Below are 25,578 nucleotides of genomic sequence, written 5' to 3'. Positions count from 1 at the left end.
TCTTTGGTAGCCTGATTCCTCCCCACTCCCTGGCCACGTGGTCCCCAGATCTGCTTCTGTGAATCACCCTGAGTGACTGCAGGGGTGCTTCAATCAGTGAGGGGATCTCAAAGAAAAGCCAGGTATTTCTTAGACAAGGATTCTTAGATAAGGTTGATTTATTCCTCACCGTCTGAGAAAGCAACAGTCTAGTAGAAGGCAGTGGGGCCCAGGGCTCTGTCACCTCACCAGGAGGTCTCTGTCTTGACAATAGATTACTACGTAATGCACGTGTAATGCATTGCACATCCTATTGTTGACATTTTGCAAATCTAATTTAATTACAAAATGATGAAACCATTTCTCCCAAAGGGGGAGGATAACATGAAATCACAATAATAACCTAAAATAACAATATCAAAGTTCTAGGAAAAGATTTTAGACAAACCACTCTGTGACATGTCCCCAAGGCGAGAATGGAGTAGGGCTTGATCAAAATGGTGGTCTCAAACAAGCTGCCTAAAGGAATTATTATTTCAGTGGGATTAGAATAATGTGAGGGGTAGAGGAAAACCTGCCAGGCATAAGCATTCCACCTAGTGGAAATTAGATTTTGATGATGAAATCGCAAATGATTTTAACAGGGAGGAAGGGGGCGGGCAGCAGCCAAGGAGAACAGATGAGTGTAGGTTTTCAATGAACCTGCTGGGTTTTCACACTGCCTGATGCCTTGGCTGTGATATACCATGGGTATGTCAGAATGTCCAGAAGGACCGAAGTCTAGAATTAGCAACGATTGTAAAGGAATCCTGGTCAGCACCAAAGTTGTTTGTTTGCTTCCTTATTGGTCTGTTTGGAGCAAGAGGATGGACAAGGCAGCGACTCCCCTCGGCTAGGCGAAGACGCCGAGTAGAGAGAACAAAAAAGTGCACAATTCCCATTTTGTTTCCAATTCTACTTCCCTTGAGAATAGTCCTCACACTGGCAGAAAAAAAAAAAGTGGAACAAAGATCATTAAGAGTGAAATGAAGCCCCTAACAGAAGAGAAAATGTAAAATAGAGCTCTCTCAACTCTGTCCTAGAAAACGACCCACTTGTCACATTCCCCATAGGTGGTCACATTCCCCACAGGTGGTCACGTTCCCCACGGGTGGTCATCCAGGTTGGCCAGAGCCCCCAAAGCAGCACTTCTGGAGAGAGGTGGCATGACCAGAGACAAATCCATTTATTAGTCCTAAATTTCAAGACAGAGAAGAGAAACTTGCTGAGCAATGTGTTTTTTCTCTTTTCCTTTTTTTAAATAAAGCCCCGCAGTGGCTCACGCCTGTAATCCCAGCACTTTGGGAGGCCGAGGTGGGCGGATTGCCTGAGGTCGGGAGTTCAAGACCAGCCTGGCCAACATGGTGAAACCCCTCTCTACTAAAAATACAAAATTAGCCAGGTCTGGTGGTGCATACCTGTAATCCCAGCTACTCGGGAGACTGAGGCAGGAGAATCGCTTGAACCCGGGAGGCGAAGATTGTGGTGAGCCGAGATTGGGCCATTGCACTCCAGCCTGGGCAACGAGAGTGAGACTCCATCTCAAAAAAATAACAAATAAAGCCCCTGAAGGGAGGCTTCTCTGGGCTGCAGGTGACCCAGCCCCCAGAGGAACAATAAATGACTTTGGGGTAACAAAGTCATGACTCAAAGTAGTCTTGTCAGGGTGGAAAAAAGAAGACATTTTACAAGGGAAAATGTAACATTTTATATTTGGGTTCACTAAAATGATTCGTTCAAATACATAGTGGAGGAGCGTGGGGGCCCAAGGGGACTGGTTTTCCATGGGTTCCTTATGGACCAAGAGTGTGAAGATCAGGAGAGCCCCCACACATGGGAGGCAAGGACCTAGCACAGGGAGGGCCGCAGCCTTTCTCCATCCCCGCTTCTTGGGCCAACTGCCCGTGTGTGGGGTGCAGCTCTCAGATCCCAGCCAAGTAGGAATTCCCCAGGCAGGTCACCAAGAGGAAGGGGGTGTGGGGGCAGAGCAGTGGTGACGATGCAGGGGCTGTTAGCCAGAGGAGAGGTGAATTTATATAGCTGAAAAGCCACCAAAGATGAGAGAGGGACCGTTCTTTATGTCCAGCAGGCCACGTTTGAGGAGGCTGGCTGGGGTCCCATCTGAGATGAGTGCCGGTGTGGTGCGGAGTTCCCTGCCAAAGGAGGGTCTACACAGTCTCAAGATGGCCTCTCTGCCAGGGTACACCTCAGAAGGGATCTTAGAGGCTGCGTATGAAGGTGGCCCGAGGGCGCCTAATGTCCCTTCCCAAGAAGTTGATGATTACCATGGATGAGGAGTCAGTAGGAGAGAAAGTGTCCTTGTCCAGGCAGCTGGGAGGAGTGGTTAAAAGGGAGGCCAGGTGTGGTGGCTCACACCTGTAATCCCTGCACTTTGGGAGGCCAAGGCAGGGAGATGGCTTGAGTCCAGGACTTAGAGACCAGCCTGGGCAACATAGTAAGACCTCATCTCCACAAAACATTTTTTAAAAAATTAGCGAAGTGTGGCAGGAGGCTCAGGTGGGAGGATCACATGAGCCCTAGATGTCGAGGCTACAGTAAGCCCTGATCACACAACTGCACTCCAGCCTGGGCCGCAGAGTGAGACCCTGTCTACATAAATGAACAGGCTGGGCACAGTGGCTCATGCCTGTAATCCAAGCACTTTGGGAGGCTGAGGTGGGAGGATCATTTGAGGTCAGGAGTTCGAGACCAGCCTGGCCAACATGCTGAAACCCTATCTCTAATATAAATACAAATATTAGCCGGACATGGTGGCGGGGGCCTGTAATCCCAGCTACTCGGGAGGCTGAGGAATGAGAATCGCATGAACCCAGGAGGTGGAGGTTGCAGTGAGCCAAGATCTCGCCATTGTACTCCAACCTGGACAATAGAGTGAGACTCTGTTTCAAAAAAATAAAATAAAATAAAAATACATAAACAAACAAAAATAAAAAGGGCAAACCAAGGCACCGGGGTTCAAGCCCTGCCTCTGTCACTTTGTATGACCTTTGGCAAGGTACTTAAGCTCTCTGTGCCTCAGTGCCTTCATTAAAAATGAGGATCATGGCAACAGGACACACCTGCGAGGATTTCCGTGAGGGTTAAAAGAGTTAAATGAAGATTCTTAGCACTGTGGCCACACCCATGGCAAGGGCCATGTGCTGGATAGCTGCTGCAACTGTCATTGTCACCATCATCATCATCACCGCTGATTTAACATGCAGTTACTGAACCCTGTCTATGTGCCAGGGGAGTAGAGACCAGTAGGGTGGGTCCCCGCCTTCAAGAAGTCACAGCCCAGCATAGAAAGCACAGAATTGTCACATGCAGAGATGGGTTAGGGGCAGCACAGGGTGTGGTCACATCACCTGGGTGGGGCCCAGGAAGGCTCCTGGGGTTGGCGGGCCAGTGCCTCTGAAACCATGACGTGGCTCAGAAGCATTTCAGCATCTTGTTTTCCCGTGCTCATCAGGCTGTTTACTCTGGGGGCGGCTGTGCACTTAGTGCCCCCTCCACGCCCCAAATGAGCGCCGGGACTGGCCAGGACTGGCAGGGCTGGCTGGGCAGGTCCAAGGGCTCAGGGACCCGCCCCAGGGCCTCCTGGGCACACCTGGGGCCCACAGCCCCCCATTCCTGGGCCTTAAGGCCTGAACTCTGAGGCCCCCCATGTACGTGCACCCCTCTGTGCCAAGCACTGTCCTGTGCTGTGCTGTGGTGTTGTGTCTGATCCTGGGAGATGGGTGGTGTCAGGGTCATTCTCATTTTACAGCTAAGAAAATAGGCTGGGACATTAAATGTCTTATAAAAGGCCCAGCCAGGACTTGGAGCCAAGGTTTCCAATGCCAAAATCAGGTGCCGTTTCCATACCCCACCCTGGGCAAGACCAGAGGTGACTCAGCCAAGAACCCTGCCCTCCAGGAGGAGATGGAGCCAGAAATCTGAAAACTGACCCTCCAGCCCGGGAGAAGTGTGGCGGGGCTGTGAGAGCCCTGCCCTCTGGGCCCTATCCCCTGCCCATGCAGATTCTTGCAAAGTGGCCCCTGCCTGCTCACTCTTCATGGAAGCATCTCCTGGTCAGTGGTTGTTTTAGAGAAGGAAGGCAGTGGTTTAGGAAAAAAAAAGTGTTCTTTAGTGGTGGCAGCCTTTTTGTCAAATAAAATTTTATCAGAATACACTCAAAATTGGTAACAGGAGAGCCGTTCTGGGTACAGAGATTGAGGGGAACCTGTGTGTGACCTCTTGCTTCCTGACCCCTCCCATCCTACTCCAGACTCTTCTGCAGAACCCCATGTTGACCCCTGCTTTGAGGTGGCAGAGTTAACACTACTCTTCGTTATAAGCTCTCGTCTGGGGCAACTCAGAAGAACGTAAGTTCCATGGGGAAGGTTTTTGTTTGTTTCTAATTGTGGTAAAATATATATAACATAAAATCGACCATTTTAATGATTTTTGAGTGTACAATTCAGTGACATTAAGTATATTTACAATATCATGTAACCATCAACACCATTCATCTTCAGAACTTCTTCATCTTCCCACACTGAAACTCTCTACCCACTAAACACTAACTCCCACTACCCACCAAACATTTCCCTCCCTGCAGCTCCTGCAACCACCGCTGTACTTTCTGTCTCTATGAACTTGACTACTCTAGACACCTCATGTAAGTAGAATCATAGAGTATTTGTCCTTTTATGTCTGGTTCTTTCACTTAGCATAATGTTTTCAAGATTCATCCATGTTGTAGCATGTGTCAGAACTTCATTGCTTTTTACGGCTGAATAATATTCCATTGTGTAACTGTACCACATGTTCATCTGTTCAGCCATGCGTGGGCGCTTGGGTTGTTTCTTCCTTTCAGCTATTGCAAACCAATAATGCTGCTGTGAACATGGGTGCGCAAATATCTGTTTGAATCCCTGCTTTCAGTTCTTTTGGGTCTATACCTAAAGAAGTGGAATTGCTGCATCATATGGTAATTCTATGTTTAACTTCTTGGGGAACCACCATATCATTTTCCACAGTGGCTGTATACTACTTTACATACCCACTGGCAATGCACACAGATTCCAGTTTCTCCACATTCTCCCCATTGTGGCAGGGGTTTTAAACCTCTTCATCACGGGTGCACCCCCGGAGACTAGGGCAGTGCCTGGCACATTGTAGGTGCTTGATAAGTATTTGTTGGATGAATGAATGGGAGGCCTTGGCCTCAGAGCAGCTGTACCTGGGCACTCTCCTACCTGAAGGTGGCACCCAGTCAGTAAGTGTCCTACCCACACAGGGTCCAAAGACCTTCCCATTCCAGTCCCTGTTCAGCTCTGAGACAACCATCCTTTATTTGTTATTTATTTATTTATTGAAACAGGGTTTCACTGTGGTGCAGGCTGGAGTGCAGTGGCAAGATCATAGCTCACTACAGCCTCGAACTCATGGGCTCAAGTGATCTTCCCACCTCAGCCTCCCAAGTAGCTGGGACTACAGGCATGTGCTGCCCGGCTAAATTTTTTTTTTTTTTTTTTTTTTGTAGAGATGAGGTCTCACTTTGTTGCCTGCACTGGTCTAGAGCTCCTGGCCTCAAGTGATCCTCCTGCCTTGGCCTCCCAAAGCCCTGGGATTACAGATGTGAGCCACCACCCCGAACTGATTTTTTTTTAACGTGAATGTAAAAGTCCATCCAGGGCAAAGATAAGAGTCAAGAGGCCCAGAGGAATGGGACTGAAGTGTCAGGGGCCAAGGATAGCCCACCGTGGGTTTCCTGTGATCCTGGGGCTTGGCTGTTTGGACCAGGGATGAGGGATAGGAGAAGGGAGACAGGAGATGCCCAGAAGGATGTAGCCTTGGGGAACATCGCGGCTTCTGTGTCTGGTGCTGTAGTGAAAGAACCAGGAGGGGATGGCGATTGGCCTAGTGGTTTGCTGTGTTTCAGAACTCCTCCTCCCAATGCCTTCCCCTCACTCAGGCCAGACTTCTCACGCATTCCCACCCCTGCATCTTCGTTCCGGCTGTTCCCTGATCCCTTTTCCGGGAGCAGCATTCCTACTCCTCCTTCCTAACCCAAGGTGGCTCATCTCTCAAAGCCCAGAGGAAGGTGCACATCCTCTGCAGGGCTTTCTCCACAGTTCTAAGCCCCCTCTCTGCCAGGCCCCAGACCCCACAAGGCAAGGCTGGGGTGGACAGCATTGCATAGTATGTGTTGTGTACTGTGCGACAGGACGCCTCTTCAGCTCCAGCCAGAGCAGGCTGAGAGTCTGCCCACTAAGTGACCTCCCAGTCCTTTCCCACTCTCCTGGCTCACAGTGAGACGTGTGCACAGCTGGAACCACAAATGTCCCAATGGGTGTGATCAAAGCAGACACAGCAAGGTGACACCTGGCCCAGCAGGGCAGCAGTTAGGGCCCCCTAGAAAGGGGTCTCATGGTTCTCTTGTCCCCCACCATCTGGATTAAAGGGTCCCCAGGTCCTGAAGAGGAGCTGGTACTGCTATCAGAACCCAGGGCAGCGCCTGTGGTCTGCTGCATGAACGAGGGTCTGGGAAGTTGTCATCCCACTTCCAGTGTGGGCTCCCTCCTGCTCAGCACTGCTGGGCTGGGGACACAGACCTGAGTTATAGAGCCTTTGTAGGTGTTCCCACATGGATGTGCTGGTTTGGGAGGCCTTGACCTACCCCAGAGGGCAGCCCCTCATGAGCAGATTCCATTCTGGGCATACTTGTGTCTCTCTGAGCGAGGGGAGTGCTCACTGCTGCCTTCTCAGCTGCTAAGCAGAGGGGTTGCTGGGGAGGACCATTCCCCCTGTTAGCTAAACTACCCACTGCCATGTGTCCTGGGCCTCATGTAGATAGAGTTGCCCATGCAGGAAGCAGGCTCAGCTATGAATCTACCTGAGGGCAGAGCTTTCTGCACTTGTGTCTTTTGATTGGGATTCATATTAGACGCCTTGCTTACTTGTTCATGGGCAGGCATATATGGATGGGCACATCTGTGTCCCACTCAACAGTCTGACAGGCCCCCTGCTCTGAGTCTCCATAAGTCAAGGATGACTGCTTCCTTCTCTGAGGTATTCCCCCTGTCCCGACAGTGAGTTTTTATTACTGCTTGCCACATAGTCTGCGTTTTAAGTCTGGCCATTCCAAACTTCCCCTCCAAATTCGATGAGCCGTCTTGCCAACTGTGATTGCACAATGCCGAGACGGGTGAGCAGAAACGGTTGTGCTTACGTAGGTGTGTGGTTCTTTGTGATTTCTGTGGCTAACACTGCCATCTGCTTCATGTCCAGGGCTGGGTTCCATGTCTGTCTGAGCTCTTCACCACCTCGTCTACAGCAGTCTGTGACCCAAGGTAGTAATTGCTTAATAAGGCTCATGGTCTCAGGCGCCAGAAAGTTGTATTCATCTTTCTATCCTGGACCTGCACAGGAAGTCAGTGCCCCATATGCATTTGTTGAATGGAAGGAATTTTAAACTTCTTGAAGTTTCCCTTTCTTACTAGTTCTATATCTCAGCCCAGCCCAGAGCTGAGCCCATAACAGGGCTGATGGGTTGGCCAATGGATGGAACTGCTGAAAAGTTTCCTAAGTCTAAGTGGATTTTGATCCCCAAGGACACAAAGAAACCCAAAGGCTTGACACAACCAAGTATCTGGAGTGACTGTTGGTGAAAGGCCAGGGCCCATCACATGTGAGCCATGATCATGGGGCCATGGGAAGGGGATTTAGTGAGATGGGAAGAATGTGCGTCATGAAACAAGGGAAGGACTTCGCATGAACCAGTGGCGATCAGGTGCCAGGAAATGAGGAGTGTGGCTAACTCAGCAATCTGTCCCTGAGGTCTGATTCCAAAAGAAAGAGAAAAAAGGGAAGGAAGGAAAGAAGGGAAGGAGAGAAGGAAGGAAGGAAGAGAGGGAAGAGCAAAGAAAAGAGCGTAGGTTTGGAAGCCAGATAAAGCTGGACCTGGGCCGGGCGCCGTGGCTCACGCCCGTAATCCCAGCACTTCGGGAGGCCGAGGTGGGCAGATCACAAGGTCAGGAGATCGAGACCATCCTGGCTAACACAGTGAAACCCCGTCTCTACTAAAAATACAAAAAATTAGCTGGGCGTGGTGGTGGGTGCCTGTAGTCCCAGCTACTCGGGAGGCTGAGGCAGGAGAATGGCGTGAACCTGGGAGACAGAGCTTGCAGTGAGCCGAGATTGCGCCACTGCCCTCTAGCCTGGGCGACAGAGCGAGACTCTGCCTCAAAAAAAAAAAAAAAAGCTGGCCCTGACAGGAGTTTGAGACCAGCCTGTCCAACATGGTGAAAACCCGTCTCTACTAAAGATACAAAAAAACTGGGCGTGGTGCCAGGCGGCTGCAATCCCAGCTACTCGGTAGGCTGAGGCAGGAGAATCGCTTGAACCTGGGAGATAGAGGTTGCAGGGAGCCGAGATCGCAATATTGCACTCCAGCCTGGGTGACAGAGCAAGACTCTGTCTCAAAAAAAAAAAAAAAAAAAAAAAAAAAAGCTGGACCTGAATCCCCTTTCTATCTCTTTTAAGTGTGGATCTATAGACATGGTCTCTATCTCTATGTCCTAGTTTCTGCATCTGTAAAATGAGAATTAGATTAGATTAATGTGTGTGATGTGTCCCACACTGTTCTCAGCACATGGTAGAACTCAGTGTATTCATGCTGTAAATAATGGGGATTATTATTACCATAGCTCAGGTTTTGCATGAGGTATCAGTTTGGATTTAATGAACTTAAGCCAAAAAGAGCATTTATTTAAAAACTTCTGGCTGGGTGCGGTGGCTCACACCTGTAATCCCAGCACTTTGGGAGGCTGAGGCAGGTGGATCACCTGAGGTCAGGAATTTGAGACCAGCCTGGCCAACATGGTGAAACCTCGTCTCTACTAAAAATACAAAAATTAGCTGGGTATGGTGGTGCACCCCTGTAATCCCAGCTACTTGGGAGGCTAAGGCAGGAGAATTGCTTAAACCTGGGAGGTGGAAGTTTCAGTGAGCTGAGATTGCACCACTGCACTCCAGCCTGGGCAACAGAGTGAGACTCTGTCTCAAATAAAAATAAAAATAAAACCTCCTCGTTCATAGAGTTGAAGAAAGGGTTGAATCCCAAGACCTCAGGAAGGCTGGGAAAGGAGGGACTGGGGTTTCAGGAATAGGAAGACTGCTTCTGGGCAGAGGCAGTGCTAGTCTCCTTGTGTGACCTCCAGGTTCAAATCTCTCAGACAGTCTTACTGGCTGGCTTGGATCCTGGGCTGACAGCCCCACCAGTACCATGATGGAACTGGGGGAGAAGTAGTTCCCCCTCAGAAAAGTGAGGTGCTGTCCAGAATAAGGGAAGCAGAAGTTGCTGGACAAGCAGAACTGTTGACCACCGCACATGAGAATCCCTCACCTTCCCACCTCCACACCAGTGCCCGCTTAGGCCCTCCAGGTCAGCCCTCATTCACAGAACTGTGTAATTACTGCTCCCCTACCCTCCCCCATTCCTCAGATTCCTCCACCAATTTTAATTTCAACACACCATCTCCCTGCCTGCCACATCCAGCCCAGCCCAGCTCAGCCTAGCTGGGCCCGAGCAGGAGGTGGCAGCTTTGCCCAAAAGGCTGCCCTGCTCTGAGGCCTCCTGCCTTCTGGTCCCTCCCTGAGAGTCCCAGGCCAAATCCTCACCTGCTCTTCACAGAATTCCCTATGCCCTAGGGAACAGAACTCAGGCCAGTGCTGAAATCCCCATTTGCTTCTTCCTACTTCTGCCTTTTCAAAACCAGCTCTTCTTTTTACTTTGCTCTTGGCCAAATCCTGCAAAAATGTGTTCATGGGGAGGCCACTAGAACTTGAGCATCCAGTACAAGACGCTCCAATGAGAAAAAGACAGAAATACTCAGGGTTCCAGCCAGACATGGTGGCTCACGCCTGGAATCCCAGCACTTTGGGAGGCCATGGTGGGCGGATTGCCTGAGCTCGGAAGTTCAAGACCGACCTGGCCAACATGGTGAAACCCTGTCTCTACTAAAGATACAAAAATTAGCCGGGAGTGGTGGCACACACCTGTAATCCCAGCTACTCGGGAGGCTGGAGCAGGAGAATCACTTGAACGCTGGAGATGGAGGTTGCAGTGAGCCAAGATCACACCACTGCACTCCAGCCTGGGTGACAGGGCAAGACTCCATCTCAAAAAAATAAATAAATACTCAGGGTTCCAGAGGCCCCCACAGGGTGAGGGGAGGGGCCCATCTGCCAGCCTTGCTAGCCCTTTCTGCTCCAGGGTTCTGACGCAGCGATGCCATCTGCTCAGGGCATCTTAAAGGGCTTCCAGGTCTGAGGGGCCACACTTCAGAGGCCTAAGGTTTTGTGGTGACCAGCTGCAGGCCTGAGAAGGGGGGAAGCAGCCCCCAGGACTGCCCAGCCTGCATGACTCTGTCTTCCCTGCTCTGCTTGACGACTCCTAGTGCCCAGTGTCCTCCTGTCCTCACCCAGGTGCGTCTGTCCCATGAGGCACCAGTTGCCGCCAACCTCTCCCTTTATTTTTTTCTTTAGTACAGCTGGTACCTCCTGTGCCTCCTCCCCTTTCAGCTACCCATATGGCCAGAAAGCTCTGATCAATTAATTCCCACATAAGTGGTCAATTTAAAAATCTTAGAAAACTTATTTTTTGAGACAGGGTTTTGCTCTGTCACCCAGGCTGGAGTGCAGTGGCAGGATCACAGCTCATTCCAGCCTTGAACTTCTGGGCTTGAGTGATCCTCCCTCCTCAGCCTCCCAAGTAGCTGGGTCTACAGGCATGTGCCAAGAGGCCTGGCTATTTTTTTTTTTTTTTTAGTAGGGATGAGGTCTCTCTCTCTTGCCCAGGCTGGTCTCGAACTCCTGGGCTCAAATGATCCTCCTTTATAGGCATGAGCCACCATGCCTAGCCTTAATAGAAGAGATTTAATCACAGAGTGTCCACTTCAAAGGGTAGCTCTGAAGAGTAGATCCTTGTTGTAAGGCCTCCTGAGCATTGCAGCTCTTGTGCCCGATGGATGGAAGGATGGATGGATGGATGGATGGATGGATGGATGGATGGATGGATGGATAGATGAGAGGGAGGGAGAGAGGAAGGAGCCCGTAGGGAGAGATTTGCAGTTAGGATCACTTCCTCAGGGCCCCTTCCATCATGCAGATGGCCACCTGCTCTGCCGACATAGACCTGGCTCTGGGGTTACAGGCAACTGGGCTCTACCAACCTGTGCATCATTTAAAAGTAGAGAAAATAGCCGAGCATGGTGGCTCACGCCTATAATCCCAGCACTTTGGGAGGCCAAGGCAGGCGGATCACTTGAGGTCATGAGTTCAGGACCAGCCTGGCCAACCTGGTGAAACCTCATCTCTACTAAAAATACAAAAAAATTAGCTGAGCATTGTGGCATGTGCCTGTAAACCCAGCTACCCAGGAGGCTGAGGCAGGATAATTGCTCGAACCCGGGAGGCGGAGGTTGCAGTGAGCCGAGATCGCGCCACTGCACTCCAGCCTGGGTAACAGAGTAAGACTCCATCCCAAAACAAACAAACAACAACAACAAAGAAAACCTTTTCTCCTGATTATAAACATATTTCTTTGTGTAAAAATTTATAAATGCATTTAGAAGAAACTATGATTCACTCTAATTATATGATCCATTTGTAACTACTCTTAATATATGGTACATAGTTTAAAAAATTTTATTGAGCTTAAAGTGTATCTAGTTTTGTGTCCTAATTATTCTGCTTAACCTTCTATTGTAAGCATTTTCCACGTCAATAAATATTATAATGTAATACTTTCTGTCCACTTTCTATCATCATTGGATGCAGCATAATTTATTTAATCTACTTACTGTTCTTGGACATATAGATAATTTTCATACTTTTTTGTAATTATCACAAGTGGTGCAATATCCTTGCAAGTAAAGGATGTCCATCTATTTCTCTGATAAGTTTAGATAAAATCTTAGAAGTGAAATTCTGGGTAAAAGAATGTGAGCTTTAAAAAAGACCTTTTATTTTAAAATAATTTTAGGCCAGATGCAGTGGCTCACGCCTGTAATCCCAGCCCTCTGGGAGGCCAAGGTGGGCAGATCATCTGAAGTCAGGAGTTTGAGATCAGCCTGGCCAAAATGGAGAAACCCCATCTCTACCAAAAATACAAAAATTAGCCAGGCCTGGTGGCGGGCGCCTGTAATCCCAGCTACTCGGGAGGCTGAGGCTGGAAAATCACTTGAATCCAGGAGGGGGAGATTGCAGTGAGCTGAGATCTCTCCATTGCGCTCCATCCTGGGCAACAAGAGCGAAACTCTGTCTCAAAATAAATAAGTAAATAAAAAATAAAATAATTTTGGATTTATAGAAAGTTGAAAAGATAGTAGAGAGAATTCCCATATATCTTTTATCCAGCTTCCTCTAACGTTCCTATCTTACCTAACCAGGGTACATTTGCCAAAACTAATAAACTAACATTGGTATGATACTGTTAAGTAAACTCCAGATATTTTGGGATTTCATCATTTTTTCCATGAATGTCCTTTACTGTTCTGGGATACATTCCAGGATAGCATGTTGTATTTAGGGTGTGAATATTTGTGAGACTTCTTAGATAAATATACACATACATACACATTTGTATGTATGTGTGTGCATGTACACTTGAAAATCATATAAATTTATATTCCCACAAATAGCATTGCAGGGAATGAGAAAAAGACTTTGCCAACTTAAAAGAGAAATAGCAATAATAACAATGTGGCTTTAGTGGGCATTAATTCATTGCTAATGAGTTTACGGATTTTTTCATCTGTTTGGTGGCCAGTTGCTTTTCTTTGTTTTTGATTTCTCAATCACCTGCAGGAATTTTTGTCAGTGTTTAGATCTTTAGCTTCCACTCAAGGTGACACACAGCCAGAGTCAGGTGAGCATCTAGAAGCTGTGACTGGTGCTGCATCCTACTAAGTCACTGAAGGGGCCATGGGGGAGGGCAGGCTGCCCACGTGCTCCCTGTACAGACTTGGTTTCTCCCTCGGAGGCCTGCCCAGGTGGTGGAACCCAGCGACAATGAGGCTCCCTGCTCTCTGGGGCAGGCCAGCGGCAGGGGGAAATCTCATTCTATTTTCTGAGCCCTAGTTTTTTCACCCATTAAATGGGCACAATTTAGGCCTGTTCAGGTACTAGAAGATGATCGTGAAGTCACTGTGTAAAGCATCCTCCAAGTGGGTGATGGTGTTGTAGAGAGCAATGTGGTGAAGGGGACTGAGCAGTGCCTCGTATGGAGAGCGTGGAGCTTAGTCCACCAACCCAGGTGGCAGGAAACGCTCCTGAAATCAACTCAGCTCCAACTCTGAGCTCCCATGGTGCCTGAGGAGGAGGAAACTTCATCTTGGTCATTTTTAGGCCCCATCCAGTGAGGGTCACCCAAGAATCCAGGAGGTTGCCCAGAAATGTGGACAGGCAAGGGGCCTGTCACTCTCAAGGGCCTCATGAGGCTGAGACTCTGCCCCCAGGCCATTTTGGGGGCCTTTGTGCCCAGTTTGAGGGGGGTCCCATGTCCAGGGCTGGCCTCCCCACCTCTGTGTCCTGCCCCTCCCAGAGGGACATAGTACAGGCCTCTGCCCTCTTCCCACTCCCCAGTTCCTCCTCCCCTCTCTGTTCTCATTTTCTCCGAAGACTCTTCCCTCAGAGACTACAAGGAGCCCAGACACTGAAACAAAGAGGCAAAGGAGAGAAGGGCCTGGGGTGGCTTCTGCCTGGTCCTGAAACTCAAACGTCCCTGGCCGGGCGTGGTGGCTCACACCTATAATCCCAGCACTTTGGGAGGCCGAGGCGGGTGGATCATGAGGTCAGGAGATTGAGACCATCCTGGCCAACATGGTGAAACCCCATCTCTACTAAAAATACAAAAATTAGCTGGGTGTGGTGGCATGCACCTGTAGTCCCAGCTACTCAGGAGGCTGAGGCAGAAGAATCGCTTGAATCCAGGAGGTGGAGCTTGCGGTGAGCCGAGATCACACCACTGCACTCCAGCCTAGTGACAGAATGAGACTTTGTCTCAAAAAAACAAAAACAAACAAAAAACACGTCCCCTGCAACAGGGACACCCAAAAGAGGACAGGTCCAAGACCTTCTTGGAATGGGAGGAGGAGGAAAAATGCAACCATTGAAACACACATGAGTATCTAAGGAAATAATCTGGCCACACAGAGAAGAAATATGAAGATATGGCCTCTTGTCCAAATGGCACAGACCTGCCGTGTGGCCTCTGACAAGTCACCCATCGTCTGGGAGTTTCCTCAGTTGTGCAATGAAGGGGAGGGTTCCATGACCTCTGAGGCAGCCCGGCTCTCCTGTCCACGGGCTGCTACCACCTTGGAGGGCGCGAGGTTTGCTTCCGGTGTTCGGGGCCTTTCCCAGTCACTGCCTCACCAGGACACCCTCACCCGTGTCAGGCTGGGAAAGGGCTTTCTTAACCTTGTCATGCCTTGCTGTGGCTTGTCGTTGGTGTAATCTGTGAGGGCTTTTGTAGCTCTGCGTAATCATCAGGGTGAACGGGAGGTAGCTCTGGGTTTGGCCTAAGGCTGTTATGCGTTATCTCCTTTAATCCGCATAACTGCTTGATGGGCTGGGCCTGTCGTTTTCATTTTGTGAAGGGGAAAATGGGGCCCAAAGTTGTTTTCCTAAGGTGGCCTAGTGGGTGAGGCAGTGCTGGTCCCATTCTCAGACTGAGCTCCCTGGCCCTCCGGGTTGTGTCCCCTCTATGGGGCAACTATCCAGGGATGAGTGTGTGACCACGCTCAGAACCAGCCTGGGAAAACTTTCCCCAAGGAGACTCCCCTGGAGGCTTGGAGGGGTGGAAAGAGTGTTGGGAGAGTACAGAGCCCCCTGGGGAAGAAGCTTCTCTGGGGGTTGGAGCAAGCATTTCTCAGAATGCTGGGATCACTGCCTGGCCTTAAGCCCCAAGACTGCCAGCACACCCGCCCTGCAGAGGGTTGTAGCCAGAAACAGGCACCTGGCCAGTTGCATTTGTGCAAAGGAAGCCCATAGGGCCCCAGCCTGCTTCCTTTATGGGCTAGGGCAGGGTAGGGGATGTCTGAGTTTGAATTTAGTGTCTAGGGGATCCATACCCACACTTGTCATTCACCACCCAAGGGCATGGACCCACTTCTGGGGCTCATGACCTAGAGGACAGGCCAGACAGCCTGGAATGACACAACTCAGGGTGACACCAACAGGTCCCACTGGCTACTTTGTCACCTCCTTTTCTTCACTCCCCCCTCTGGAGTTACTAATTTCCACTTTGTGACCCTCCAAAGATGCATTCCACCCAACTTTCCCATTGAACTAGTGGGGAAATGGTACTTTCTGTATCCAAATCTTAGCTGAAACCAGAATTGGGGTTATATTGACTAAAAGATCATTTGGGGCCACTTCTTTTCATTTGTATTTATTAGGCCCCTCCTAGGTGGTAATGGGCCAGGTAGAGTGAGAGTACAGTAGAAACCCAAGACGAAATTATCCAGGAAGGTCAACCTTCATTTTACAGATGGAGACACGATAGTTCAGAGATGCAGAGGACCTCGCCCAAGGTCACGCAGATACCGGGCCAGTCTTGGGTTTGGAACATGAGGTTCCTGCCTTTCAGCCCCGTGATCTTTCGACAGCATCTTACACAACTTACAGAATGGTGGGGGAAGCAGGAATCGCACCTGCAAAACAATGACGGAACCCTGAGGGGGCAGGGCTCCCATTGCCAGTGACTTCCCACCCACAGTGGCTGTCAGTGCCTTTATGTTGTTTACTTAAATGTGCTTGTCTGGAGGTTGTCATTTTCTTTTGAGACACTGGGAATTCCCATAATTTTTTAAAAAAGTTCAGTAAAATTGAATTTCTACATTTTTGCCCAATTTTTTTCCTTTTTATTTTTTATTTTTTTTTACAGAGTCTCACTCTGTAGCCCAGGCTGGAGTGCAGTGGTGCAACCTCCTCCTCCCATGTTCAAGTGATTCTCCTGCCTCAGCCTCCCGAGTAGCTGGGACTACAGGTGCGCGCCACCATGCCTGGCCAAGTTTTGTATTTTTAGTAGAGACGGGGTTTCACCATGTTGGCCAGGCTGGTCTCGAACTCCTGACCTCAGGCGATCCACCTGCCGCGGCTTCCCAAAGTGCTGGAATTACAGGCATGAGTCACCTTGCCTGTCCCATTTTTGCCCAGTTTGTGTCTCCTCGGTGTATGAGTGTGTGTGTTTTGTCAGGGGCACTCTGTTCCTATAGGTTGGTCTGATTTGGGACTCTCTCTGTGTGTGCTTTGATGGGGGCACAGTGACAGGAGATGGTGGAAATAAGGCGTGGAGAGGCTGTATTGTGCCATCATACCTTACCAGGACACTCTGTGCCTGGAGGGGGAAAGGGAGGGGGCCAGCCATGCCAGGCTGAGAAAGGGCTTTCTTAACCCACAAGTGTACAGGCCTTGAAGGCTCATGACTTAGGGTCATTGTCACCCATTCATTCAGTCAAATCTGGAAAGCATTCAAAAAATAATTAAAAAATCACCTCTGGGGAAAAGTCTGGTGTCAGGTTCAGAAAGGATTTGTTTCATATCCAGAGCCATGTCTGGGTTGTGTTCTCTGCTATCCAAGAACCCGAGGGCTCTCATTCAGCCTCAAGGGCTATGGAAGTGACTCCTGGTAGGTGGCTCCAGCACTGACTCTGGGCCCTCAGGGTCGAGGTTGCGGTGAAGACTGCGGTCTGCATCGCCTCCTGCCCCAGATCGGATTGGAGGGAGCCAGGTGAGCGTGAGGAGGAGGCAGTGTGGGGCTGGGCCTGGCTTCCAAGGAGAACTACAAGAAGACCAAAATCAGATTGGGATCTCATGGGAGGGCAGCACTGGGTCTGGAACGGAAGGCTTTGCCCACCTGGCCTCTACACGGACCACGTGGCCGGAGGGTTGGGCCTTCCAGGGCCATGCACCTGGGAGGGACAAGGCTGGGTGCGGTTGGGTCACATGTCTAACTTGTGTTCCTTTGAAGCTGTGAGTTGGACAGATTTTATCTTGCCTGTTTTGACCCTCTGTGAGCTAACAGCTGGGGGTGGGGTGGGGAAGGGGAGGACGGAGAGCAGTAAGCGTGCTGGTTCTTCTTTTGGTCTGTTTAGCAACTTCCCATGACTTTTGAGCAAGGAACAGGTGTAACCCCTTGCACCCTGAGGTGTGCAGTTGACTACATATGCCTGTGGCCTCAAGGCCATGTAGAAATTGTCCCTGGTTCAGCCAAAGCAAATTCAAAACCAAAAGCAAATTCACTGACCACGGGGGAAAGAGTAGGAGATATTAAACAAGCAGCTCTGCCTGGCCTTCCACTCACATGGCCATGAGGCCCATCATTCAGCACATCATCTCGGCCCCTACTGCGTGCTGGGCACTGTGAGGAGCTTCTGCCTCCTGTCTCCTTCACGCTCCTTTCCTTTCCCCTCCATAGCTCAGCAAGGCCCACATTTTCCCGGTGAAGCCACAGAACCACAGGGAGAAACCCATGGACTTCGCCTCTCTCTCTAGGCAAGTGAATTTGGTGGCAAAGTCTCTTGGCAAATTCAAATTGTACTTGCTACAGTCTTTTCCTCAAGTAATTCTGGGTGCTTTCCAAACTTACCAGTTCCCTGAAGTACATGGGAGGAGGCAGGGAAGCTTCTCGGGGGAGGAGCAGCACCGGCAGGGAGGCCGAGGGGCAGCAGTGCGGACAGGGAGTCAGGTGACGTGAAAGGAAAGGTGGGTTGCAGGCTGGGCTCTTGCTGTCTGTGGGCTCCATTCAGAATCCCCCACTTCACCTAGGACACTCTGGCCTCCGTCCAGGCATCACTGCCATGGAAATCCCAGATACATTCAAGTCCTCTGTTAAACACCTGCCTCCACATCCCCTCCAGATCTTCTCTGTCCTCAAAAGGAGCTCTGCCCTTCAAGGGAGGGGCTGGGGGCTTTGCAGCTTTCTGTGCCTCTGGCCAAGGCTGATCCTCCTTCCTCCTGCCTGAGAATCCAACCTTAGCCTGGAGCAATCCCAGAGGAATATGGGTGTGGGAGTTTGTCGCGTGTGACCCACAGTCGGCTCTGGGACCCCTGCCCCAGGAGCTCTGGAGGACTGTCAGACACAGCTTGTTGCAGGGAAGCTAGTTGACAGAAGATGTAACAGGAGTGTGAACATGCCATCAGCCCATACCCCGACCTCCAGGAACAGCCTAGCCTTACGGTTCTGTGCCCTCCTCAGCCCAGGGACTCTTCACCCACCCAACATTGTCATTACCCAAAACTATTTCACCTCTGCTCTAAACAATTCCAAAATCCCCATCCTCTGATCCCAGCCTTCTTCCTGTCCAGAGTTCTCATCCACAACTCCTGCCACCCCAGGGTGAATGGCGAAGCCCTCCACCAACATGGCAGCCCACAGAGGAGCAGACTGGAGAGAAAGAAAATGAGTTCAGTTTCGCTGATAGATCTGAAAAATATACATTGGGCAGGGCCATCAGGTTTTGGAGAGCCTTTTGAGGGCCCTGCTCAAGGAAGAGCTGGGCTTGGGGTTCAGATCCAGGTGTGCTCAGATCATACCAGTTCCTATGAGCTGATTGTTAAATCTTCAGGAATTTCATGAACCAATGGTTAAACCCAGCTATTATGAAAAATTAAATTATAAATTAAATTATATAAACTTACAATTAAATGAATTATATTAAGGCAAAAATAATAAATTTTCAAAAACCATCACTTCCTAATAATTTTTTTTTTTTTGAGATGGAGTTTCACTCTTGTTGCTCAGGCTGGAGTGCAATGGCACGATCTCAGCTCATTGCAACCTCCGCCTCCCAGGTCCAAGGGATTCTCCTGCCTCAGCCTCCTGAGTAGCTGGGAAAACAGGCATGCACCACCATGCCTGGCTAATTTTGTATTGTTATTAGAGACAGAGTTTCTCCTTGTTGGTCAGGCTGGTCTCGAACTCCTGACGTCAGGTGATCTGCCCGCCTCGGTCTCCCAAAGTGTTGGGATTACAGGCATGAGCCACCATGCCTGGCAATAATTTTATATTTTATTATTCTTTATTCTTTTAAGATTATGTACATCTATTACATCTGTGGAAATACTATATAATGTTGTGTTACTGTGCTTTTTCCCCAAGTCTGCATTCAGTGACATCATATTGGTGGATTGAAATCAGCCACAGTGGGAATATTTACACCACAGAAGTGGGCAGCAACCACCACAAATCAGGGCTTTATTCATTATTTGGTTGACTATCTAGACTTAAGAAGGTTATGGAGAAAATGCTAATAATGCACATTAAACTTAAATGTATGTTTTGCCAATGGCCATTGCATTGTGAATGGCACAGAAAAATGAAGGAAATATTCTTCCAGTATTCAAAAACTATTCTCTGCTTCAGTAAAGAAATTGCTAACACCATTGACAAACAAGTAAAGTTCTGGCCAGGTGCAGTGGCTCTTGCCTGTGATCCCAGCACTTTGGGAGGTCCAGGCGGGAGGATTGCTCGAGGCCAGGAGTCCAAGACCAGCCTGGGCAATATAACTAAACCAGTTCTCTACAAAAAATAAAAAAGTTAGCTGGGCGTGGTGTGCACTATCTGAGGCAGGAGGATCTCTTGAGCCCAGGCGTTTGTGGTTACAGTGAGCTATGAACATTCCACTGCACTCCAAGTTCTGGGCAACCCATTCTGTAAAAAAAAAACAACAAGTGAAGTTCCAACATCTGTCTTTCTGGCTTCACTTTTTTCTTGCTAGTTGGTACAAACAAAAATATCAGTTAACATTCATGTTGGAACTACATTCATTTATCAGTTACAACTGTAGGCTGGTTATAGATTCAGCAGGTTGGCAAAAATCAATGAAAGCATCCTGTAAGACCCAACTGGCCATATGCAATTTACAGTAAAGAGTAGTATATATTTTTTATTATTTGTAAATTATTAGCCATCCTTTATGTCAATAAAATTTATCATAAATGTATGTATGTGTATATATGCATGCATTTTCCCCAGAGAGCTCATTGTTAATTAAACATCTACCAGCATACTACTGGGCAGGTTGCCTTAGTCTGAGGAGTGGCCAGAGATTTGACTCTGGAAAGATTCCCAGAAGAGGGTGGGAATGGCTGATGGAAAGAGGCTACTGAGGAGGTTGGAGGGGGCCTCAGGTGGAAGGATTAGCCTGGCCAGGCACAGAGTCCCTGAAAAGGGATGAGAAGTGAAGAAAACCTGGGATAGGGTGGAGTGAGAGCTCGCCATTTCTCTGCCAAGCAGGACGCAAGCCATCTTCTGCAAGCAGGAGGTGGAGAAGTGAGGAAGGGTGAAGGTTTGGCCTGAGTAGAGTAGTCAGTGTGGGGCCAAGAAAAGGGACCAGGGAGGACGAGGAAGAGTAAGGAGGACTGCAGAACACTCATGAAAACCGAGAGGACGGCAGGCCCGGCGAATGGCTCACGCCTGTAATCCCAGCACTTTAGGAGGCTGAGGCAGGCAGATCACCTGAGGTCAGGAGTTCCAGATCAGTCCTGCGAACGTGGTGAAACCCCGTCTCTACTAAAATTACAAAAAATAGCCGGGCATGGTGGCGGGAGCCTGTAATCCCAGCTACTTGGGAAGCTGAGGCAGGAGAATCACTTGAACCTGGGAGACAGACGTTGCAGTGAGCCGAGATCACGCCACTGCACTCCAGCCTGGGCGACAGAGCAAGACTCCATCTTGAAAAAAAAAAAAAGGGCCGGGCACGGTGGCTCACATCTGTAATCCCATAACTTTGGGAGGCTGAGGCAGGAGGATCACGAGGTCAAGAGTTGGAGACCAGCCTGACCAACATAGTGAAACTCCATGTCTACTAAAAATACAAAAAATTAGCCAGGCGTGGTGGTGGGCGCCTATAATCTCAGCGACTGGGGAGGCTGAGGCAGGAGAATCTCTTGAACCCGGGAGGCGGAGGTTGCAGTGAGCCGAGATCGCGCCACTGCACTCCAGCCTGGGTGACAGTGTGAGACTCCGTCTCAAAAAAAAAAAATGGTAAAGAAAACCTAGAAGACAGCAACCGAATCACAGCCATGAAAGCAAGAGGGTCGAGTGTAACCAGGTGCAGTACTGGCTAAGCCCCATGGTACGGATTGCTTGAATAATCTCCCAGGACAATCCTAGGAGGAAACCAAGGCTTGAAAGAATTAAGTCATTTGTCCACAGCTTGCAGCCAGTTAGTGGCTGAGTCAGGAGTTGAATTTAGGCAGCCTGGCCCTCTTGACAAGGCCAAAGACTGCGCAGAGGCACCTTTCTCCTCAGCAAAGCTCCCCCAGATGATGCAAGTTCAAATGCTCCAGGACGGAGATTGGCAGGGCTGGCTTGGCTACATGTCAAGGGCTTGTGGGCATCCTAAGGCTGGCAAAGCCGCCTCACATCTCCGGCCTCCCCAAACATTCTTGCACCTGATGCTCTTAGCACCCCGCACTGTCTGTTGAATCTAATTATAATGAATCTAGACTTGCATTTTTAAATATCTTTGTTATTTTACCTTCAGATAATTCATTCTTATTGTGTTTTTAAATAGTAAAGTATGTGACAGATTGGAAATTTACAAAACGATCCTGCGCCTTAGAACATTTGAGAGGCAGGGTCCTAACGTTCTATTCTAATCACATTGATCCCTTGCTGGGAGCCCTTAGTCATCCCTGCTGGCTATAGCAGTTTTCCAAATGGTGGGTGGGGATCAATTAGTGGGTTGGGAGATTAGTTTTCAGTGTCATTAAAAGAGTTAAAAAAGAAGTGGCCCCAAATAGAAAATATCAGAGTATATTACACATAGTAAATACATTTTGTTTTAGCTACATATATCTTCATGGATATGTGTACTGGATTATGATGAAAAATGTCTTTCTTACTATGAGTACAGTAAAAAAAAGCAACTTTTTTTTTTTGAGGCAGAGTCTTACTCTGTCACCCAAGCTGGAGTCCAGTGACATGATCTCAGCTCACTGCAACCTCCACCTCCCAGGTTCAAGCAATTCTCCTGCCTCAGCCTCCCAAGTAGCTGGGATTGCAGGTGCCCACCACCACACTTGGCAAATTTTTGTATTTTTAGTAGAGACAGGGTTTCACCATGTTGGCCAGGCTGGTCTCGAACTCCTGACCTCAGGTGATCTGCCCGCCTCGGCCTTCCAAAGTGTTGGGATTACAGGCATGAGCCACTGTGCCCGGCCAAAAAAAGGCAACTTTGAATGCTGCTCATCTGCAGTTAAAGAGCACTGCCAGGCCTGATATTCAAAGCCATCGAGGCAGAAGCAATTGCTGAGGAAGATCAGGCAATGCTTCATGGGAAAAAGGTGAGGACAGCCTGGGCTGGAGGATGTGCAGGTTGTGGATGAGACCAAAGGCCAAGAAACACCGGGACTTTCATGTTTAGACTGTACCAGTGCTGCAACTCAGAGAGGAGCTGGGCCTGGCAGTCCCTTATGATAGCACCTTAGAGGAGGGAGACCCTGAGTTTGCTAGGGAAATCAAAGGAGACTTCCTGGAGGTGGTAGTGTCTTAGTTGACTTCTCAGTGTTTGCCAGGAGAACAGGGGTGTCAGAGGGCTCATCTGGCTGAGTGGCTTGTGAAAAGGTATGAGAAAGCCCGTCCTGTTTGGGGAGCTACACGCCATTTTGTATAGGTAGAGCATGAACTAGGGAGGGGGACTTCGTGAGTCTTGTTGGGTGTCAAGATTTTATTTTGGGATGAAGAGCCATGGAGGAATTTTGAGCAGAATGGCATGAGCAGACTTACATCTTTGGAAGATGACTCTGGTGGCCTGAGGAGGGTGGATTAATGGAGAGGAGGCAGGAGGCAAGGAGTCCTGTAGGATGACTACCGACCTCAGCAGGGTGCCCTGAGGCCAGGGTGTGAAGAGGCATGGAGGCAGGAGAGAGACTCAGGAGGAGGAGCTGAGGGCACTGGCGACCCAGCAGTCCAGGTGGGGCCGTGAGAAAGGGGTGGAGGTGAGGAAGCCCCCTGTGTCTGTGACTCCGAGGGCTGGCTAGATAGTAGTGCCATTGCCAGATAAAGAACACAGAGAGCCAGGTGTGGTGGCTCATGCCTGTAATCCTGGCACTTTGGGAGGCCAAGGCGGGAGGATTGCTTGAGCCCAGGAGTTAGAGACCAGCCTGGGCAATGTAGGGAGACCCTGTCTTTACCAAAAAAAAAAAAAAATTTAAGAGAATTAGGCAGATGTGGTGGTGTGCACCTCTGATCCCCTCTAAGGTGGAACTGGAGCTGAGGTGGGAGGATTGCTTCAGCCCGGGAGGTCAAGGCTTCAGGGAGCCATGGCATTTCAGCCTAGGTGACGAAACAAACAAAAAACACAGGAGGCAGAGGGTGTCTGGTGAGAAGACAGCATGTTCACTGTTGAAAGTGGACTCGTAGGCAGACATGTAAGGTGGGCAGCTGGGGCAGTGGGGAGAGGATGGGTAAGCGGTGCAGAGAGGGGTGTCCCTGGCCTGGAGAGTGTGTGGAATGAGGGGGAATGGCCTGTAGACAGAGCCTCAGGGAGCCACATCTGTGAGTATCCAGGGAGAGAGGAACCCACAAAGGACAGAGGGGAGTGGTCGTAGTGGCAGAAGACCCAGAAACTTGGGATACAGAAACCAAAGGCGCAGAGAAGACCTAGGAGGAAAACAGCAGTGCGAGGGCTTCAGAAGGCCAGAGTCCTTGAGGCTGAGAGGGCCAGACTGCAGCCTCGGGGAACCGCCAATGTCCCTGGCAAGGCTGACGGCAGAGGGCGGTGAGGCTTTGTGTGTGAATGGAGGTAACACCATGAGGCAGAGTGTAAGCGGGCTGCCTCGGACCATGCCACACCGTGTGCAAATTAGAAAGGGGCACCCCTTCCTCCAGGCAGATTCAACCCCTCGTTCTGGCACATAGGCTTGGCAAGAGGAGTGCAGGCTATGCCTCAGCCTCCACCTGCCCCACAGTGGGGCATCTGTGCACCTTGGCCCTGTGAGTGTGGACCAACCCTTCTAGAAACTGCCTGTCAAGGAAGGCAACAAGTGGTCATTGACCAAGGAGATACAGGATCATGTGAGGGTTTTCTTTTTTAAGATGTGAAAGTCTCATGAGTGCTAATTTGGATAAAGGCAGGGAACCCACGGAGAGTGAGAATTTGGAGATTCAGGAAAAGAGTGTACATGACACGAGGCGGGAGGGTGCAAGGCTGGAGCGGCTGCCCTGGGAGACGCCCATGCTGCAGGGGAGAGTCCGTTCAGCAGCCGCCACACAGACCAGGGACACTGAGCCACAGTCGGGACTGCTTGTCCCCAGCGACCAGGGGTTCCAGTGCCCAAGACTCAGGCCCATGCAGACGGCCCAGGAGTGGGCCAAGAGCTGGGCAGACCAGGCTGGGGAGGGTCTTGGCACAGCCTTTGCTTACTTATTATTTACTTTTTACTATGGGAAATTTTCAAACACACCCCAAAGTGGTGAGAAACTCAAATAAACCCTCTTAGATCTATTTTCTAGCTTTAACAATAATTAATATTGCCAATCTTATTTTATGGACCAGTTTTTTTTGTGTTTGTTTGCTTTCCAAGACAGGGTCTCACTGTGTCATCCAGGCTGGAGTGCAGTGGTGCAATCTCGGCTCACCACGACCTCCACCTCCTGGGTTCAAGTGATTCTCCTACTTCATCCTCCCAAGTAGCTGGGACTACAGGCATGTGCCACCATCCTCTGCTAATTTTTGTCTTTTTAGTAGAGACAGGGTGTTTTCATGTTGGCCTTGAACTCCTGGCCTCAAGCGATCTACCCACCTTGGCCTCCCAAAGTGCTGGAATTACAAGTGTGAGCCACCATGCCTGGTCGATGTACCAGTTTTTAAAGCACCTTTTAAAAAACTTAAAATTTTAATAGACTTTATTTTTAGAGTAGTTTTAGATTTCACAGCAAAACTGAGTGAAAGGTACAGAAGTTTCCTATTTATTCCCTATTAAAAAACTTTATTTGGAAATTATTTTTATTTTTTATTTTTTTGAGACAGAGTCTTGCTCTGTCACCCAGGCTGGAGTGCAGTGGCTCTATCTTAGCTCACTGCAACCTTCGCCTTCTGGGTTCAAGCAATTCTCCTGCCTCAACCTACCAAATAGCCAGGACTACAGGCATGCGCCACCACGCCCAACTAATTTTTGTAATTTTTAGTAGAGCCAGGGTTTCACCATGTTGGCCAGGCTGGTCTGGAACTCCTGACCTCAGGTGATCCACCCACCTCAGCCTCCCAAAGTGTTGGGATTACAGGCATGAGCCACCATGCCTGGCCTATTTGGAAATAATTTTAAGCTTACAGAAAATGGCAAGAACAAGTTTTCTTAATTTGAAATAACTTTTTCTTATTAGAGGATATATTTACAGAATATCTGTAGAAGAAAGTTAAGATCATTCATGATTCTACTACCCCAAAATAACCACTGTCATTGTTTTGGTGTCTTTCTTCCTAGTCTTTTTTCTGTGTTCATAGACACTGTTTCCATTTTACCCAGAGACTATCCCAATCTCTCCGAGGCATCCTA

The 25,578-nt window shown here is 49.3% G+C and overlaps 1 protein-coding gene and 1 long non-coding RNA gene across 13 annotated transcripts in view, besides 5 other annotated features; both read left to right on the top strand.

Annotated features, from left to right (window-relative positions):
• ASPRV1 (aspartic peptidase retroviral like 1) overlaps nt 1-25,578 on the top strand; it is a 154,659-nt gene that overhangs the window by 94,249 nt on the left and 34,832 nt on the right. For 3 of the 10 annotated variants that reach the window (NR_170376.1, NR_170635.1, NR_170639.1), the window contains one exon: nt 4,289-4,385. The exons of 5 other annotated variants lie outside the window; for them this stretch is intronic. The gene's annotated coding sequence lies outside the window, so the exon portion shown is untranslated. Of the gene's footprint in view, nt 1-4,288; nt 4,386-4,621; nt 4,682-17,491; nt 17,573-25,578 lie in introns of all 10 variants that reach the window. 2 more of the 10 variants (NR_170375.1, NR_170638.1) reach the window with 2 other exon arrangements.
• Nucleotides 1-25,578, top strand: part of PCBP1-AS1 (PCBP1 antisense RNA 1) — a 125,946-nt gene that overhangs the window by 95,082 nt on the left and 5,286 nt on the right. Inside the window, exon 9 of one of the 3 annotated variants that reach the window (NR_033872.1) lies at nt 4,289-4,385. This is a non-coding gene — a long non-coding RNA (PCBP1 antisense RNA 1). Of the gene's footprint in view, nt 1-2,107; nt 2,988-4,288; nt 4,386-11,578; nt 11,812-25,578 lie in introns of those variants that run through there. The other 2 variants (NR_183088.1, NR_183089.1) reach the window with 2 other exon arrangements.
• Nucleotides 7,636-8,136: an enhancer, noted in NCBI's record as "H3K4me1 hESC enhancer chr2:70212123-70212623 (GRCh37/hg19 assembly coordinates)". NCBI's record gives its function as "activates a minimal SCP1, AML or CMV promoter by ChIP-STARR-seq in primed H9 embryonic stem cells {active_cell/tissue: H9 hESC(primed)}" and the evidence as "EXISTENCE:reporter gene assay evidence [ECO:0000049][PMID:30033119]".
• Nucleotides 8,137-8,637: an enhancer, noted in NCBI's record as "H3K4me1 hESC enhancer chr2:70211622-70212122 (GRCh37/hg19 assembly coordinates)". NCBI's record gives its function as "activates a minimal SCP1, AML or CMV promoter by ChIP-STARR-seq in primed H9 embryonic stem cells {active_cell/tissue: H9 hESC(primed)}" and the evidence as "EXISTENCE:reporter gene assay evidence [ECO:0000049][PMID:30033119]".
• Nucleotides 16,370-16,880: an enhancer, noted in NCBI's record as "H3K4me1 hESC enhancer chr2:70203379-70203889 (GRCh37/hg19 assembly coordinates)". NCBI's record gives its function as "activates a minimal SCP1, AML or CMV promoter by ChIP-STARR-seq in naive H9 embryonic stem cells {active_cell/tissue: H9 hESC(naive)}" and the evidence as "EXISTENCE:reporter gene assay evidence [ECO:0000049][PMID:30033119]".
• Nucleotides 16,881-17,392: an enhancer, noted in NCBI's record as "H3K4me1 hESC enhancer chr2:70202867-70203378 (GRCh37/hg19 assembly coordinates)". NCBI's record gives its function as "activates a minimal SCP1, AML or CMV promoter by ChIP-STARR-seq in naive H9 embryonic stem cells {active_cell/tissue: H9 hESC(naive)}" and the evidence as "EXISTENCE:reporter gene assay evidence [ECO:0000049][PMID:30033119]".
• Nucleotides 20,097-20,974: an enhancer, noted in NCBI's record as "H3K4me1 hESC enhancer chr2:70199285-70200162 (GRCh37/hg19 assembly coordinates)". NCBI's record gives its function as "activates a minimal SCP1, AML or CMV promoter by ChIP-STARR-seq in primed H9 embryonic stem cells {active_cell/tissue: H9 hESC(primed)}" and the evidence as "EXISTENCE:reporter gene assay evidence [ECO:0000049][PMID:30033119]".

Source organism: Homo sapiens, chromosome 2 (assembly GCF_000001405.40).
Source record: "Homo sapiens chromosome 2, GRCh38.p14 Primary Assembly".
In the NCBI taxonomy this organism is placed as follows: domain Eukaryota; kingdom Metazoa; phylum Chordata; class Mammalia; order Primates; family Hominidae; genus Homo; species Homo sapiens.
This window is presented reverse-complemented; position numbering and strand designations above follow the sequence as displayed.